Source organism: Homo sapiens, chromosome 8 (genome assembly GCF_000001405.40).
Source record: "Homo sapiens chromosome 8, GRCh38.p14 Primary Assembly".
NCBI classification, from domain to species: Eukaryota; Metazoa; Chordata; class Mammalia; order Primates; family Hominidae; genus Homo; species Homo sapiens.
Genome location: NC_000008.11, coordinates 143,563,195 through 143,579,583, shown reverse-complemented (window position 1 = coordinate 143,579,583; position 16,389 = coordinate 143,563,195). Strand labels below are relative to the sequence as shown.

The following is a 16,389-nucleotide window of genomic DNA, read 5'->3' as shown; positions in this document are numbered from 1 at the left end:
CTCCGCCTGTCCCTCCATCTCCTGGCCACTCCCTCCCAAAGCTCTGGCCCTCCCTCTTCTTTCCATTGCAAAAGCAAGTCCAGTTCAGGGGGTTTAAAAAGCCAGAAACAGAAACTGTTAGGTCACTATCTGGAGAGGCCACCACCCCACCACTCTGCCTCCTGTTGGCATTGTCCCCATGGGAGCAAGCGTGCAAGCCTGGAATTGTCCAGGAAAGAAGTCCCAGTAGCACCCGGCCCTGCTGCCATGCCCTTTGTCATGTGCTGTCCCGGCCCTCCCCTCACCTCATTCATTCCTGGAATCCCTGCCCCTTGCTCCAGGGACTGTGCCCCTCCCATGATGTTCTGGGGTGGCCAGAACGTGGCTGCCTGGGCTCTGTGGAGCTGTGCCTCAGCATCCTGACAGCCGTATGTGGTCAGCATGGGTGGCCACACTCCCTCCCCTGGACCACCCGTGTTTGCATTGGGGTGAAAGAGGATGGGGTGTAATTACTTGATTACTTCTGGTCAGACTCTGTCCTCGGGGCCCCAAGCCACAGGGGAATGGATTCTCCCTGGGTAGTGGCCCCTGACTTTGCCCTCAAACCTTTAGAAAGTTTCCTGTGGGGCTTGGACTGCAGGACCCCATAAAAGCCACCACTGAGGGACACTGGGCCTTCATAGCCACAAAAGGTCTTTTGGTGCCAGCCGACAGTGGGCATGCGCCCCCCTGCCCCACGCCGCCCTTTCCTGGGTGCCAAGCTCTTTCCAAGCGACATTTGCGTCCATCTGGGCTGCCTCGTCCTAGCCTGGCTGCTCAAGCTCTAACTAAGGCAGCCTCTGGCCTCCCTCCCCAGGCCCAGGGCAGGAGCTGGCTGCTGGCCAGCGGTTGTCTTCTGGGTCGGTGGGGGTGGAGTCTGGCTGGTCTGTCCTCCACCCTTTCCGCCGCCTGGCAAGTCCTGAGCTGCACCTCATTGCCCGGCCAAAGGGCAGAGACACGAGCGACTGGGGGCACCTCTGGTGACCAAGACCGGGCTGCGCTCCAAAGAGGCCGTTGGGCCTGGAGTGGGGTTGGGGGGTCCGAGAGGAGTTGGGTGACATCCCCCACCCCATCCCGGGTCCAGCTGTTTCAGCCCCTCTCGGCGCGCCGATACTATTAGCCCCACCCGTCCTCCATCGAGTCCCGTGCCGCTCCCAAACGGCACGATAAGCCCCACAGGGAGTGCGCCATAGGCCGGGGCGCGTCACGGGGTCGGGGCGGGGCGGAGTCCGGACGTCGGGAGCAGGATGGCGGCGGAGCAGGACCCCGAGGCGCGCGCGGCGGCGCGGCCGCTGCTCACTGACCTCTACCAGGCCACCATGGCGTTGGGCTATTGGCGCGCGGGCCGGGCGCGGGACGCCGCCGAGTTCGAGCTCTTCTTCCGCCGCTGCCCGTTCGGCGGCGCCTTCGCCTTGGCCGCCGGCTTGCGCGACTGTGTGCGCTTCCTGCGCGCCTTCCGCCTGCGGGACGCCGGTAGTCCCCCGTCCGCGCGACGAGCCCCCCACGCCCGGCAGAAACCCCCACCTATGGCCGGTGGAAGTCCTTGTCCCCCCGTGGAACCCCCCATGTCCCACGACCGGTCTGTCCCCGCGCTGGTCTCAGCGCAGTTACCTCGTTTCCAGACGTGCAGTTCCTGGCCTCGGTGCTGCCCCCAGACACGGATCCTGCGTTCTTCGAGCACCTTCGGGCCCTCGACTGCTCCGAGGTGACGGTGCGAGCCCTGCCCGAGGGCTCCCTCGCCTTCCCCGGAGTGAGTAGGGGTAAGCGGGCGGCGCGGCGGCCACGGGGTGCTGGGCCGAGCGCGGAGCTGACTTCTCTCCCCGCAGGTGCCGCTCCTGCAGGTGTCCGGGCCGCTCCTGGTGGTGCAGCTGCTGGAGACACCGCTGCTCTGCCTGGTCAGCTACGCCAGGTGGGCTGCGGGCCACTGGCAGGGAGCGTGGGCATGGGATGGGCCCCCAGCGCCGGGGCTCCGTGCTGGACTGTGGCGGCGGGGCTGGCTGCCCAGGGGTCCCAGGACTGGCCTCCCGCCCCCACTCTTCAGGGTGTAAGGAGGGGCTGGGTGAGGGTGGAGCTCCCAGGTTGGAAGTTCCAGGCCCCAGGTAACCGCCGTCTTGGGTGGCCTAGTGATCCTCACCCTGGGACCCCCTGACTCTTGGCTCCCCACAGCCTGGTGGCCACCAACGCAGCGCGGCTTCGCTTGATCGCAGGGCCAGAGAAGCGGCTGCTAGAGATGGGCCTGAGGCGGGCTCAGGGCCCCGATGGGGGCCTGACAGCCTCCACCTACAGCTACCTGGGCGGTGAGTGTCTGGTGCGGGGCAAGGCAAGGGCCGGGAAGGAGGAGCCCCATCTTGGCCCGAGGTCCCCCAATCCCACCGCCTTCCTCCCCAGGCTTCGACAGCAGCAGCAACGTGCTAGCGGGCCAGCTGCGAGGTGTGCCGGTGGCCGGGACCCTGGCCCACTCCTTCGTCACTTCCTTTTCAGGCAGCGAGGTGCCCCCTGACCCGGTCAGTCCCTCCTCTAAACCCTGCTGTCTCCAGGCGACAGGCCCCAAGCCAGCCCTTGCCCTGGCGAGAGGTGTGCCACCCAGGCAGGTCACCCCAGTGCTGTCCCAGGAAGCTGGCACGGGCTGCATTACCTTTGCTCTCAAACTAGGGTGTCCCTGGCTGCTCCCAGGCCTCATCCTGCATTCCTGGCCCCCATTCTTCACCGACTCTGTTCCACAGATGTTGGCGCCAGCAGCTGGTGAGGGCCCTGGGGTGGACCTGGCGGCCAAAGCCCAGGTGTGGCTGGAGCAGGTGTGTGCCCACCTGGGGCTGGGGGTGCAGGAGCCGCATCCAGGCGAGCGGGCAGCCTTTGTGGCCTATGCCTTGGCTTTTCCCCGGGCCTTCCAGGGCCTCCTGGACACCTACAGCGTGTGGAGGTGAGCCCGGGCACTTTAGGGGTGGGCTCAGCAGAACCTCAGCAGCCTCTGACTCCCTTATCTATTTCTGCAGGAGTGGTCTCCCCAACTTCCTAGCAGTCGCCCTGGCCCTGGGAGAGCTGGGCTACCGGGCAGTGGGCGTGAGGCTGGACAGTGGTGACCTGCTACAGCAGGCTCAGGAGATCCGCAAGGTCTTCCGAGCTGCTGCAGCCCAGTGAGTTTCCCGGGGAGGAGGTGTGCCTGGTGGGAGATCCCCGGGGTTTGGGAATGGGCAGGGAAGGACAGTGAGGTACTCTGCTGAAGTTTCAGCGGTGATACTGCAGGCCGTGGCAGGGAAGTAAGTGGTGGGGCTCCCTAGGAGCTCCCAAGCAGAAGGTGAGCACAGGTGTCCTTGACTGAGGCGGGGCGGGGAGCAGGGGGACACCAGGGTGAATCAGGAAGACCCGAGGGGTGGCCCCCACCCTTTCTCCACCCACGCGGCAGGTTCCAGGTGCCCTGGCTGGAGTCAGTCCTCATCGTAGTCAGCAACAACATTGACGAGGAGGCGCTGGCCCGACTGGCCCAGGAGGTGGGGTGGATGAGTGGGTAGGCGGAGGGTGGCTGGGGGGCTCTGGGGGCCCCTGCAGGTTCTGGCTGGGCTCATTGCCACCTCCTTCCCCGCCCAGGGCACTGCCACCCCCTTCCCCACCCAGGGCACTGCCACCTCCTTCCCCCACCCAGGGCACTGCCACCCCCTTCCCCACCCAGGGCACTGCCACCCCCTTCACCCAGGGCAGTGCCACCTCCTTCCCCACCTAGGGCACTGGCACCTCCTTCCCCACCCAGGGCACTGCCACCCCCTTCCCCACCCAGGGCAGTGCCACCTCCTTCCCCACCCAGGGCAGTGCCACCCCCTTCCCCACCCAGGGCAGCTGGGCTCACGGCCACCCCCTTCCCCACCCAGGGCAGTGAGGTGAATGTCATTGGCATTGGCACCAGTGTGGTCACCTGCCCCCAACAGCCTTCCCTGGGTGGCGTCTATAAGGTAGGGACAGTGTCGGGGGCCCAGGTGGGGGCAGGTCTGAGGGATGGTGCTGGGTGGGGGATAAGGACCAGCCAGCTCAACGCCCTCTTCCTGCAGCTGGTGGCCGTGGGGGGCCAGCCACGAATGAAGCTGACCGAGGACCCCGAGAAGCAGACGTTGCCTGGGAGCAAGGCTGCTTTCCGGCTCCTGGGCTCTGACGGTGAGGCCCTCCCATCCCCCCTGCTGTCCACCTTCAAAGCACCAGGGCCCCCGCTTATTCTTGCCCCGTCCACACAGGGTCTCCACTCATGGACATGCTGCAGTTAGCAGAAGAGCCAGTGCCACAGGCTGGGCAGGAGCTGAGGGTGTGGCCTCCAGGGGCCCAGGAGCCCTGCACCGTGAGGCCAGCCCAGGTGGAGCCACTACTGCGGCTCTGCCTCCAGCAGGGACAGGTGGCTGCCCCACCGCCCTCATCCTGACCCCCAGCCCCGGTAGAGCCCTGACTGGGAGCTAGCCCCAAGCTTCTCTTTCCTTACCTCCTCCCTGCAGCTGTGTGAGCCGCTCCCATCCCTGGCAGAGTCTAGAGCCTTGGCCCAGCTGTCCCTGAGCCGACTCAGCCCTGAGCACAGGCGGCTGCGGAGCCCTGCACAGTACCAGGTTGGGGGGAGGCCCACCCTGTCATTCTGCCCTGTGCGCCCCCGCCCTCACCCTGCCCACCGCTCCTGTCCTCTGCTCCCTGCAGGTGGTGCTGTCCGAGAGGCTGCAGGCCCTGGTGAACAGTCTGTGTGCGGGGCAGTCCCCCTGAGACTCGGAGCGGGGCTGACTGGAAACAACACGAATCACTCACTTTTCCCCACAGCTTGTCCTGTGTTGTTTGTGTCGTTTGTTCACCCAGCCCACGGGCTGCGCCTCCCGGGCTGCGGCTGGGCTGGAGTCGGGAATCTGAGCTCGAGGTAGCAGGAAGATTTGCATCCCAGTGAAAGCACAGGCCCTGCCGGCGTGGGAGACAGCCCTGTGCTGAAGCCCGAAGGGCAGTGAGGAGTTCCCCGGCTTTGGGTAGGCTGTGGGGAGTCAGATCCCACACTAGAACTACAAAGCCACAGGCAGGGAGGGCTTTGGTGTCTGCCTTGGAGTTGAGGGAGTTGCTGCAGACCTTTCCTTGCTAGAGGCAGGCTGGGGACAGGACAGGGTTGGGGGTAGTGCCAGGTAAGAGGGTCCAGCCGTGGCCCTGGGCTCCCACGCCTGCCTAGGCACTGCCCCCCAGGCTCAGGGTCAGTGAAGACGTCTCAAACTCCCCAAGTCAAAAGGGAGTGCTCAGGTGTCTCCTGCCACTGCTGCTGCCAACCCAGCACCACCCTGGCATCTGGCGTCAGGGACACAGCTCCTGACCCAGCAGCCCACGGAAGGAGAGGAAGAATGGGGAAGAAGTTGAAGCTCCAGGAGATGACTCAGCCCCAGACACCTGGCCAGAGTGGCACTGCACGTGGCTGTGCTGGGCTGGCCCTGCCTCTGCACCAGCAAGTTCCTGATCTCAGGGTTCCGCCAGTTTGGGCAACGTGAGCTTCAAGAGGAACTGCTTGGGGGAGAGGTTCTAGGCTTGGCAGGAAGTGGAGGCTGGGGGCCTGGGCCTCTCTTGTCGAAGCAGCCTGAGGTGGCACAGACAGGCAAGGGTGTGGGGGGAATGCTGACCGCCTGGGGCACTTCCGTCTGCCCAGGCATTCCACCAGACCAGCTCACCTGGCTCCCCGGGCTTCAGGGTGGGCAGCACCACTGTGTGGTTGGCTGAGGGTGGAGGGTGGGGACTTGGAGCAGAGGCCCAGTCCAGCCAGCCCCGGGGAGTACGAGCTAGGAGAGAGATACAGACTCACACACATTGGACAGAACACACCACACCCCAGGCACCCCCAGGGCACCCGCGCACTCCGAGGGGCCCAGCCAGAGTGGCTGTATTCTTCCGTTCTTGCACTGCTGTAAAGAAATACCTGAGACTGGGTAATTTCTAAGGAAGAGAGGTTTAATTGGCCTGTGGTTCTGCAGGTACAGGAAGCATGGCTGGGGAGGCTTCAGGAAACTTACCATCTTGGTGGAAGCGGAAGCGGGCAGGTCTTACATGGCCGGAGGAAGGGGTGGGGCGGTGCCACGCACTTCCAGACAACCAGATCTTGAGAAGTCTTATCATGGGAACAGCACCAAAGGGGGAAGTTGCCCCCAGGATCCAATCACTTCCCACCAGGCCCCACCTCCAGCACTGGGGATTACGTTTCAACATGAGATTTGGCCAAGGACCCAGGACCCAGAGGGGCCTGCACAAGCTCTGGAGGGGCCACCGCTCCTCTGGTGTCTTCACTGCCCCCTCCACACCTCCGGGCTGCCCCAAGCTCACCCAGTCATGCCTGTTGCAAGGTGTCTGACAGAGCCAGCGTGCAGGGGGCGGAGCCAGCGTGCAGGGGGCGGGGCCAGCCCCTAGCCCCAGGCCCAGTGGGGAGCTGACTGCTGCTTGGGGGCTGAATCAGGCCTCGACTCAGGGTGGGGCCCAGACTCCTGGACCCTGCGAGGACCTCCTCAGAGCTGTCCACAACTGCCCTGAGCTCCCTGGTCAACAGGGGCTGGTAGTCAGGGTGGGGGCCCTTCTCCCCCTTTCTTCGTGGATCTGCCAGCTCTTGGGGATCCTGTTCTCAGGGCCCTGGTGGGTAGAGCCACACCACAGGCACTCAGGCTGCAGGTGGCCACTCCCCTCCAGCAGCCCAGGCAGGAGGGCCCCTCAAAGGCCCATTGTAGGCACGTCCGTGTGGCTCCCCAGCCCCCGCAAGCTCACGCTAGCGCACGCCACCACGCCCGTCCGTGGTCCCGCCCGGGGCGGCTTCTAGGTCAGTCCTGGGCACAACTTCGCAGGAGGAGCAGCGGCAGGTGCTGCAGGCAAGGGCCGCCATGGCTGGGGGTGTGTGGGGCCGGAGCCGGGCCCGGGAGGCTCCCGTGGGGGCTCTAACCCTGACAGCACTGACTGAAGGAATCCGGGCCAGGCAGGGGCAGCCCCAGGGACCCCCTTCCGCAGGCCCTCAGCCCAAGTCCTGGGAGGTCAAACCTGAGGCTGAGCCACAGACCCAGGCACTCACCGCCCCCTCTGAGGCAGAGCCTGGACGTGGGGCCACCGTCCCTGAAGCTGGCAGCGAGCCCTGCTCCCTCAACAGTGCCCTGGAACCAGCCCCTGAGGGGCCCCACCAGGTGACGGGGGAGGGAAGGGATGTTGTGCGAACCGGCCTGGGGGTCCTGTGGATGGTAGGTGGAAGGCGGGGTGGCAGGGGGGCGGTGCTGGCCCCGGGGGAGGTCAGCGTGAAACAGGCTGGTGAGCAACAGAGGAGCAAGGGATTTTGTAGGAAGCCAGGTGGGAGGCCGAGGGACCAGGAGGAGAGCTAGGAGAGGTTTGGGCACTTCAGACGCCCCACCCATCCTGCCCTAGGTTCCCCAGAGTTCCTGGGAGGAGGGAGTTCTTGCCGACCTCGCGTTGTACACGGCTGCCTGCCTGGAGGAGGCTGGCTTTGCAGGGACCCAGGCGACAGTGCTCACCCTGTCCTCAGCCCTGGAGGCCCGGGGCGAGCGGTTGGAGGACCAGGTCAGCCTTCACCCACTTCATGCCCTACAGAATCCTGCCGGTTCGGGCACCAAGGTGGTGGGAGGGGCCTGGAGAGCGCAGCCTGACCCTGCCATCTTCAGGCTGCTCCTGCCAGGCGGGATCAGGGTGGGGGTGGAGGTGGGGTGCAGGCCAGAGGGGAATGGACGGTGGAGGAGGCCTGACTGCTGAAGTCTGCCCCCTTCCCCACCAGGTGCATGCTCTGGTGCGTGGGCTGCTGGCGCAGGTGCCCAGCCTAGCGGAGGGGAGGCCCTGGAGGGCGGCCCTGCGAGTGCTGAGCGCACTGGCCCTGGAGCATGCGCGGGACGTGGTGTGTGCGCTGCTACCCCGCTCTCTGCCCGCCGATCGGTAACCCAACCGTCCTGGCCCTGCGGTCCCCACGCGGCTTCCTTCCCTCTTCCCGCTTGGCGGTGGAGTCTGGCCCCAGAAGAGGGAGCTGAAAAGGGGCAGGGCCTCCTTATTCCAGCCCCGCGATGACTCATGCCCCGTATCCATTCCCGCTCCCCTCATTTTTAGCTCCGCAAACTCCCCCCACACTCCTGCCACAGAGTTTCTGATGCTGGGCTCCTCTCTTGGAGCCACCTTCTATCTTCGGGTGGCCTCCCCTGGAGACCGTCCTGGGGTTGGCTCCGGAGTGGGGTGAATGAGGCTGGGGGGCTAACGTGCCTGGACACCCCTGGCTCTTTGGTTAATTGGCCCCAGAAGTTATCTTTGGTTTTATTCTCTGTGGCAATTTTTTTCTTTTTAATAATGCCAGGTTTGTTTCACTGTCGCTGACCCAACGGGACTCCCAGTGGGTCCCCACCCTGCAGCTCAGCTTGAGATAGGCTATGTTGTGGTCTGCACAATTAACCCTTCATTTGTTTCTCTGAGATTTGGGGATGGGGGGAGATGGGAGGGGTTTCCTGCCCCTCCCCTGCTGGAGTCCTACTGGCTGCCTCCACCCTGGCTGGGGACTCCCTACATTCCCTGGACACCCACCCATCTCTTGTCTCACACCAGCCCCCTCCAAACCCTCAGGGTAGCAGCCGAGCTCTGGCGCAGCCTAAGCCGTAACCAGCGTGTAAATGGGCAGGTGCTGGTGCAACTGCTGTGGGCGCTGAAGGGTGCTTCGGGGCCGGAGCCCCAGGCACTGGCGGTAGGTGGCTCCAGCCATTACCAGGGGGTGGGGGCGGGGGTGGGGGGTGGCGAGGAGCGGGGAGGATGGGCATAGGGAGTTTGCACCTAGGTAACTGCTCCTGGAATGTCCCATGCGTGTCTGAGGCTGTCCCCATCCTGTTGACAGCACGCCTGTCCCTCTGCTGCCCAGTGCAGCTCCAGGCGTGCCCCAGGCCTGAGTGGGCCACTTGCTCCACAGGCCACACGTGCTCTTGGGGAGATGCTGGCTGTTTCGGGCTGCGTGGGAGCCACGAGGGGCTTCTACCCACATCTGCTGCTTGCGCTGGTCACACAGCTGCACAAGCTGGCCCGCAGCCCGTGCTCCCCCGACATGCCCAAGATTTGGGTTCTGTCCCACCGAGGGCCACCACATAGCCATGCCAGGTGAGAGGCAACACCAGGTTACGTGGGGCGGGCCAGCATGCTGTCACCCTCTCAGCTCCCACTGCCCACCTGCTCACTGTCCCCACCACCAGCTGTGCTGTGGAGGCCTTGAAGGCGCTGCTCACCGGGGATGGAGGCCGCATGGTGGTCACGTGCATGGAGCAGGCAGGAGGCTGGAGGAGGCTGGTGGGAGCCCACACCCACCTGGAGGGCGTCCTGCTGCTGGCCAGGTGAGGAGGGTGAGGAGGGGCCCCAGGGTGTCACACCAGGAAGAGAGTCGTTGCTGGCCAGGTGCTGGGCAGGGGGACAGGGAAAAGGCAGGGGCATGAGGGTGGTGTTGGGATGGGGTCTTCTCGAGGAGAAAGGCCGCCAAACGGAGCGAGAGCTCCCATTTCCACCCACCCCAGTGCTATGGTGGCACATGCCGACCACCACCTGCGAGGCCTCTTCGCAGACTTGCTCCCTCGGCTTCGCAGCGCGGACGACCCGCAGCGTCTCACGGCTATGGCCTTCTTCACAGGGGTGAGCCTGCTTCCCGGATGGGTGGTGAAGGGTGACCCTGGACTTGATCCCTGAATCGCAGCGGCCTGCACGGGGACCGCGGGCGTGCTGACCCCATGTGCCTCGCCTAGCTGTTGCAGAGCCGGCCCACCGCACGGCTCCTGCGGGAGGAGGTCATCCTGGAGCGACTCCTCACCTGGCAGGGAGACCCCGAACCCACTGTGCGCTGGTTGGGCCTGCTGGGCCTGGGCCACCTCGCGCTGAATCGCAGGAAGGTGTGAGAGAAGGGGAGGGGTGGAGAGGGGCTTGGCCCGGTCGCGGCGAGGTCTGCAAGAGGCTGACCCCGAGTCCCAGCAGGTGCGGCACGTGAGCACGCTGCTGCCGGCGCTCCTGGGCGCACTGGGCGAAGGCGACGCGCGGCTCGTGGGTGCAGCGCTGGGCGCCCTGAGGAGGCTCCTGCTGCGGCCCCGGGCGCCTGTGCGGCTCCTGAGCGCGGAGCTGGGACCGCGCCTCCCTCCGCTACTGGACGACGTGAGCAAACGCCCCGCCTCCGGGTCCCGCCCCTGCCGCTGTCACCGCCCCCGCCCTTCCAGTCTCTCCCTCCCAGGCCCCGCCCCCGTCTCTCCCGCCCAGGCCCCGCCCTCTCAGGCCCCGCCCCGCCCTTCCAGTCTCTCCCTCCCAGGCCCCGCCCCCAGTCTCCCTCCCAGGCCCCGCCCCGCCCCTCCTGTTTCTCCCTCTCATGCCCCGCCCCGCCCCTACAGTCTCTCCCTCCCAGGCCCCGCCTCCCAGGCCCCGCCCGCCCCTCTAGTTTCTCCTTCCCATGCCCCGCCCCCCAGTCTGTCAGTCTGTCCCTCCCAGGCCCTGACCTCCCAGGCTCCGCCCCGCCCCTCCAGTTTCTCCCTCCCAGGCCCCGTCCCCCCAGTGTCTCCGTCCCAGATTTCTTCCCTCCTGACCGCCCCCGCCCCTCCCGCCTGCTGTCGCCCAGCTCCGCCCCTCCAGGGCCGTGTCCCGCCAAGCTCCTCCCCGCTCGACTTTTCCTTCCGGACCCCATCCCTTCAAGCCCCACCCCCTGCAGGGGCTCTCCAGGCTTCCCAACCAGGTCCAGCTCCAGGCCCTGTTCCCTGTCCCCAGATCACACCGAGTCAGCAGCCTTCCCTAGACCCGCCGCTTCCTCGCTCCGCGCTGGCCGCCCCCTCCCACCCTTGCAGCCCCTCTCTGTCTCCGCCTGCCCTGACTGCGCCCTCCCACGCAGACACGGGACTCAATCCGCGCCTCGGCCGTCGGGCTCCTTGGGACTCTGGTGCGCCGGGGCCGGGGCGGGCTCCGGCTGGGGCTCCGCGGCCCCCTGCGGAAGCTGGTGCTGCAGAGTCTCGTGCCGCTGCTGCTGCGCCTGCATGACCCCAGCAGGGACGCTGCTGAGGTCAGCAGCCCCCGACACCATCCCACCCCTATGCCATCCAACACTCACCACTCCCACCGTGCCTCCCCTCCGACAATTACAGGTCAGGGACTCACCCATCCCAAGGACCTCAGTGGCAGGTGTGACGGGCGGCCAGGTTACTACTGCTCTTCCCTTGAGCAGAATCAATCCAGTCTCCTGCCCTGGGCTCTTCTGCCCCTCACCCGATGCCCTTGCTCCCCCTCTTCCCACCCCACCTTTTGCCTTTCTACTTCCTGGACCCCTGACCCGGCTCACTTCCCCTATCCCAGAGCTCAGAGTGGACCCTGGCCCGCTGTGACCACGCCTTTTGCTGGGGCCTGCTGGAGGAGTTGGTCACCGTGGCCCACTATGACAGCCCCGAGGCCCTGAGCCACCTCTGCTGCCGCCTGGTCAGTAGGGGAAGCAAGGTGACCGCAAGGGGGTATGATCAGCAGCCCACTTGTTCCAGGGTTCACCGGGGCCCCCAACCGTTTCTACTGCAGCCAAACCAGATAGGCTACTGGTGGGGCAAGTCCAAGGTCTCCGACCATGCCACCTGCCCTGGGGGCTCCCCTGGAACCCCGGCCCCTGGATTCAGCTCTGCAGCCTCCTCCGCACTCAGGATCAGCCCTCCTGTCCTGCCACTAGCCCTTTTGTCCCCAGGTTCAGCGATACCCAGGCCACGTGCCCAACTTCCTGAGCCAGACCCAGGGCTACCTGCGGAGTCCACAGGACCCCCTGCGCCGGGCAGCCGCCGTGCTTATAGGTGAGGCCGCCCGGGGTCACACTGCCCCTGGCACCGGGGCTTTGGGAGCTGGGCCAGCCTCCCCCTGGGGGGCTGTGGGGCCTGCACTCATGCATCTGCTGTGGTCCAGGCTTCCTTGTCCACCACGCCAGCCCCGGCTGTGTCAACCAGGACCTGCTGGACTCCCTGTTCCAGGGTGAGGCCCCACCTTGCCAGGGGATGGTGTCCTGGAGACGTGGCTGGTGCTAGGGCGGAGTGGACGGGAGCGGTGGGTGGAGGGCCAGGGGCCCGGGCACTCGGCCCTCCTGGGCTCCCCAGCCTGAGCCGCGATCTCCTCGCAGACCTAGGGCGACTGCAGAGCGACCCCAAGCCGGCTGTGGCCGCGGCAGCGCACGTGTCCGCTCAGCAGGTGGCGATGCTGGCCCGTGCCCGGGGCTGCCCCCGCGGGCCCCGCCTTCTCCGCATCGCCCCGCGCCCCGCCCGGCCCCCACCAGTCTTCGCCGACAGCCCCTTCCAGCGCCGGAGCGTCGCGGGCCGCTGGGGCTGCTCCGGACCCCGCCGAGCCTGAGGCTCGGGGCTGGGGCCCGAGGGCCAGGGTCCGACTCGGGCACCCCACGCGCATAGCAGCCTGTCCCCGCCCTGACGGAGGGGCTCCCTGGGCCTGGTGCTGGACGCCAATGCCCTCCCCCACCCCCCACCCCCGTGACCCCTCTTCAGGCACCCACCACCCTGATGGTGACAGAGGGGGACAGCCAGCACCCATCTGTCCCCGTCAGGGCTCTTGTTCTCACAGCCCCCTGGAGCATGCCCCATGCCCCAACCTTGGGCCTGGCTCCTGGCCCAGATGGCACCTGGCCTCTTGAGTCTGCTGGGGGACCCCAAAGTTGGTGGTCCCATAGCCTGCCCTCCTGGGTCTCCACCTCATGCCTGGACAGGACGCTGTGGCCTGTCCGGGCCTTGGCCAGCCCTGCAGCTGCACCCCCGATCCTCATCCCTCACCCCATTCCCTGCCAGCATCCTAAGGCTCCTGGCGGGCATCCTCTCTGCTCAAAATTATTGACCTGTCTCCCGGCCACACCTGCTGTGCCCTCTCAGCCAGGCCATCATCACCCCCTGTTCATTATGTCAGGCCTCATGGGAGCCTGGCCTTCTCCAGAAGCTGGCCCCGGCGTCCTCCCAAGCTGGACCACGTAGGCCCCAGATCACACCTGGGGGTCCAGATGTAGGGGTCCTGTGTGCACGCCCAATCAGACCGAGCACTTGTGACACTACCCCAACACCTCTCCCAGGGCTGAATGAGGAACGCGCCACTGGACACATGAGGAAGAGGCTGCTCTGGGAGCTACTGATGCTGTGACCTCACCTCTCTGGCTTTGGGCGGCAGGTCCCTGCACCTAGGATGCCTGCCTGGAAATGTCCTTGCATTCGTGGCCTCCTTCACAGCCTCCTCCTCAGAGAAGCCTCTGCGAGTGCACAGGGAGTGTGTGCAGCCTTGTGAAGGGCTGGGACCACTTGCCCAGACTGGGGCCCCTCAGGCACAGGCGTGGGGTCCTACTGACCTGTCTCCCCAGCTCCCACACAGAAAGCATCTAAAATAAACACACGTGGATGGAAAGCGTTGGGCATCTGTTTTGAGTGTGGTTATGGGAGCTGACCCTGGTCCAAGATCTGGCTCAGGCTGGGGTAATAGGCCATAGTCCCTGATATGGCCCCAGGTAGAGTCAGTTTGGCAGCAGGGTTAAAGGTCAGGCAGGCTCCAGGCACAGGCTATGGCCAGGTCAGGTTGGGTTAACCCTAAGACAGAGAAGCTGCGCTCTGGTCTAACAGGCATGGAATGGATGGGGTTAGAGCTGTCAGCACCGGGGTGAGTGTCTCTTTGCAGGTCATATGCAGGAAGCTGAGGATCAGGTGAAGGGCCCGGGTCTTCGTGGAGTCAGGGGCAAGGTTTGGTGGATGAGTTTGGAGCCTCCACAGCAGATACCAAAACGGGATTCAACATACCAGAAACAGATAGAGAGAAAGAGGCCAGAGAGGCCAGAGGCCACCAGATGCCCAGTGAAGGTCAGATAGACGGAAGCCCCATGGACGTCCGTGCTAGCCTTCAGGAAGCTCTCAAACCAGCCATCTGTCCGAGGTCCGCACCTCCCAGGACGGGCTAGGAGCACCCATGGGGGGCACACCCTCGGCACTGGCGGGGACGGGTTTCGGGACACAGCCACATGGATCGTCTCAGTAGCAGCCCCAAAGAGGGAAGCAAGCCCGGCCTCCTTGCTCACCTTGCAACCAGGAGCCAGGCCCCAGGGCAAGCATGTGCTGCCCACCTAGCACAGGCTTGCCCACACCCCACAGCACGCTGGACAGTCTGGTGGGCAAACCCAACAGTGATGCCACGCTCACCCCAGATGGGGGCTGAGGCGGGGAGCTGGCTGTGGTGGGCAGGCAGCACCCCTGCGCTCCTCCCCCTCCCTCATGGTGCCCGGGAGAGTCCGCGCCGTCCTGCGGCAGGCTGTGTGCAGCGCAGGCGGGCTTGCCCCATACAGCTCCCTGTTAGGAGTGTGTCCAGCCCCGCCTTGCTCTGGCACTGCCCAGAACCTGGTTGCCCTGCCAGGAGTGAGATTCATGCAAAGTCCACATGGCCTCTAGAGTGTGACTCTTCCCTGCTGGAATTCCTGGGAGGCTCCAGGTGGCACAGTGGGCTGGTCCCTCCATGGGGATGCTGTGTCCCCAGGGTCCATCAGATCCACCTGCAGAGAGCCCACCCCAGGGCAAATATTCCAACGGGGTCTAAGATTGGAGGGCAAGAGGGCAGGTGCACCCTGACACTCATTCCCTTTCCACCTCCAGCCAGTGGGCCGGGACAGTCTTGGCCTGGATGCCCAAACAATCTCTAACGGGCCATGTTGCCAGAGAGCTCATTGGTGGTGCAGCTCTCAAGATGGGGCTCAGGTGTGGCCTGTCACATGGCATGGCCCTGCCGGTCTCAGGGCCCCGAGGCTGTGCCTTGTGTGCCTGCCTTTCCAAATGCTTTCTAGGACCCGGGCTACTCCCACCCCACTCACCCTTTCAAGTCACCCGAAAGGGTTTTCCAAGGAGGACCATGAGTCTGAGAGGCGTTGAGTTTGTTCCTACACTGTGGGTAGGAGTGTCTAGGAGATTCTGTAACTTGGATCTGAGATACTGGAGTTTGTTTTGTCTCCTGTTTCAATGTTAATGTCACTATTCATAGCAATACCCCATCTCTACAAAAAATGAAAAAATTAGCCAGGACTGGTGGTATGTGCCTATCGTCCAGCTACTCAGCAGGCTGAGGCGGGAGAATTCCTTGAGCTCAGGAGATCGAGGCTGCTGTGAACCATGATTGTCCCACTACACAGCCTGGGTGACATTGCAGGACCCTGTCTCTTTAAAAAAAAAAAAAAAAAAAAGGCCAGGCGCGGTGGCTCACGCCTGTAAACCCAGCACTTTGGGAGGCGGAGGCAGGTGGATCACGAGGTCAGGAGACCGAGACCATCCTGGCTGACACGGTGAAACCCCTGCAGTGAGCCGAGATGGCGCCACTGCACTCCAGCCTGGGCGACAGAGCGAGACTCCATCTCAAAAAAAAAAAAAAAGTCTGCTGGGTGCGGTGGCTCACACCTGTAATCCCAGCACTTCGGGAGGCCAAGGTGGGTGGATCACAAGGTCAAGAGATCGAGACCATCCTGGCCAACATGGAGAAACCCCGTCTCCAGTAAAAATGCAAAAATTAGCTGGGTGTGGTGGTGTGCTCCTGTAGCCTCAGCCACTCGGGAGGCTGAGGCAGGAGAATTGTGGGAGGTGGAGGTTGCAGTGAGCCGAGATCACGCTACTGCACTCCAGCCTGGCGACAGAGAGACTCCGTCTCAAAAAAAAAAAAAAAAAAAAAAAAAAAAGTCACTGTTGGGCCTGGATACCAGGTTTTCTGGTGGATTTAATGTCCCAGTTGTAGCCAAATCCACTGTTCCTTCTCTTTTGCAAGCTCTGCAAGTTGTGTGGCCATTGTGTGCCCTGACAGAAGTGGGGAAGGCTGGCGACCATGTGCAGGTAGACTGGTCCCCACCAAGGAAGGTTGTCCACTCTCCCAGGAACAATCACTCCCCGGCCACGTCAAGTGTTGCGTGTCCCTCCCTGGACGTGGAGGCCACAGCTGCTGAGCTCCTGCAAGTAAGCAACTGGATGTGACCCTGGACCTGCTTAATTCCCACAGGCCGGAGACCTCCTCTCTCCAGGCTCTTAGCTCAGGCAAGCAGATGTGGGTGAAATGTACCAAAGGTCAGTTTCTTTAGTACTGCTTCCCCAGGAACCTCCTGTGTGGCCCCAGGAGGGCAGGGCCTGTCATCAGTCACACCTGCACCCCTAAAGCCCCTGTGGGCCGAGGATGGCTACACCCTTCAGCACATGCCTCAAGCTCCCTGAAGCAGAGGTTCCTGCCATGCCTCAGCCACGGACACGCCTGGTGGAACTGTCTCACCTAAATCGCCCTGCCCTTCCTCACAGGTAGAGAAACACACAGGCAGGGGTGGGCAGGGCCATGGGCCCATTACTCTAGAGAGCGGCCAAGCCCAGCATGGGGCTCCCCTTAGCTCCAGGGTGC

General features: G+C 64.5%; 2 protein-coding genes across 23 annotated transcripts, besides 3 other annotated features; both read left to right on the top strand.

The window, feature by feature from the left end:
* Positions 30-938: an enhancer, noted in NCBI's record as "H3K4me1 hESC enhancer chr8:144660816-144661724 (GRCh37/hg19 assembly coordinates)". NCBI's record gives its function as "activates a minimal SCP1, AML or CMV promoter by ChIP-STARR-seq in naive H9 embryonic stem cells {active_cell/tissue: H9 hESC(naive)}" and the evidence as "EXISTENCE:reporter gene assay evidence [ECO:0000049][PMID:30033119]".
* Positions 939-1,846: an enhancer, noted in NCBI's record as "H3K27ac-H3K4me1 hESC enhancer chr8:144659908-144660815 (GRCh37/hg19 assembly coordinates)". NCBI's record gives its function as "activates a minimal SCP1, AML or CMV promoter by ChIP-STARR-seq in naive H9 embryonic stem cells {active_cell/tissue: H9 hESC(naive)}" and the evidence as "EXISTENCE:reporter gene assay evidence [ECO:0000049][PMID:30033119]".
* On the top strand, positions 1,254-6,710 carry NAPRT (nicotinate phosphoribosyltransferase). 5 transcript variants are annotated; one of them, NM_001286829.2, is made up of 13 exons: positions 1,254-1,491; positions 1,641-1,768; positions 1,845-1,927; positions 2,185-2,315; positions 2,407-2,522; positions 2,742-2,938; positions 3,012-3,152; positions 3,422-3,506; positions 3,882-3,962; positions 4,059-4,161; positions 4,239-4,354; positions 4,491-4,598; positions 4,684-4,799. In NM_001286829.2, the coding sequence occupies exons 1-13, from the start codon at positions 1,266-1,268 to the stop codon at positions 4,744-4,746; spliced, it is 1,578 nt and encodes a 525-aa protein (NP_001273758.1). In that variant the 5' UTR covers positions 1,254-1,265; the 3' UTR covers positions 4,747-4,799. The 5 variants fall into 5 exon arrangements, with proteins under 5 accessions (NP_001273758.1, NP_660202.3, NP_001350075.1 ...); NM_145201.6 differs by having other exon boundaries at positions 4,239-4,393; NM_001363146.1 differs by lacking the exon at positions 2,407-2,522 and having other exon boundaries at positions 4,239-4,393.
* A 101-nt stretch (positions 6,711-6,811) lies between these two features.
* MROH6 (maestro heat like repeat family member 6) lies at positions 6,812-13,392 on the top strand. Of its 18 annotated transcripts, none has more exons than XM_047422089.1 (15): positions 6,812-7,163; positions 7,399-7,551; positions 7,763-7,917; positions 8,590-8,707; positions 8,927-9,111; positions 9,204-9,341; positions 9,519-9,633; positions 9,744-9,887; positions 9,970-10,143; positions 10,865-11,032; positions 11,323-11,460; positions 11,696-11,798; positions 11,908-11,973; positions 12,119-12,186; positions 13,067-13,145. In XM_047422089.1, the coding sequence occupies exons 1-15, from the start codon at positions 6,870-6,872 to the stop codon at positions 13,070-13,072; spliced, it is 2,025 nt and encodes a 674-aa protein (XP_047278045.1). In that variant the 5' UTR covers positions 6,812-6,869; the 3' UTR covers positions 13,073-13,145. The 18 variants fall into 18 exon arrangements, with proteins under 18 accessions (XP_047278045.1, XP_011515523.1, XP_047278046.1 ...); XM_011517221.3 differs by having other exon boundaries at positions 9,967-10,143; XM_047422090.1 differs by having other exon boundaries at positions 9,967-10,143; positions 11,323-11,442; positions 13,067-13,144.
* Positions 7,454-8,303: an enhancer, noted in NCBI's record as "H3K27ac-H3K4me1 hESC enhancer chr8:144653451-144654300 (GRCh37/hg19 assembly coordinates)". NCBI's record gives its function as "activates a minimal SCP1, AML or CMV promoter by ChIP-STARR-seq in naive H9 embryonic stem cells {active_cell/tissue: H9 hESC(naive)}" and the evidence as "EXISTENCE:reporter gene assay evidence [ECO:0000049][PMID:30033119]".
* Positions 13,393-16,389: the final 2,997 nt, after the last annotated feature.

What these genes read in the sequence shown, in the direction of transcription:
- NAPRT (NM_145201.6), top strand. Translation starts at nt 1,266, where the DNA reads ATGGCGGCGGAGCAGGACCCCGAGGCGCGCGCGGCGGCGCGGCCGCTG. An exon ending in GCTCCCTCGCCTTCCCCGGA is followed by an intron (nt 1,769 to 1,844) that starts GTGAGTAGGGGT and finishes CTCTCCCCGCAG; the next exon opens with GTGCCGCTCCTGCAGGTGTC. An exon ending in CCCTGGGTGGCGTCTATAAG is followed by an intron (nt 3,963 to 4,058) that starts GTAGGGACAGTG and finishes CTCTTCCTGCAG; the next exon opens with CTGGTGGCCGTGGGGGGCCA.
- MROH6 (XM_011517214.2), top strand. Translation starts at nt 6,870, where the DNA reads ATGGCTGGGGGTGTGTGGGGCCGGAGCCGGGCCCGGGAGGCTCCCGTG. An exon ending in CCACCACATAGCCATGCCAG is followed by an intron (nt 9,112 to 9,203) that starts GTGAGAGGCAAC and finishes CCCCACCACCAG; the next exon opens with CTGTGCTGTGGAGGCCTTGA. An exon ending in TCCCTCCGCTACTGGACGAC is followed by an intron (nt 10,144 to 10,864) that starts GTGAGCAAACGC and finishes CCTCCCACGCAG; the next exon opens with ACACGGGACTCAATCCGCGC.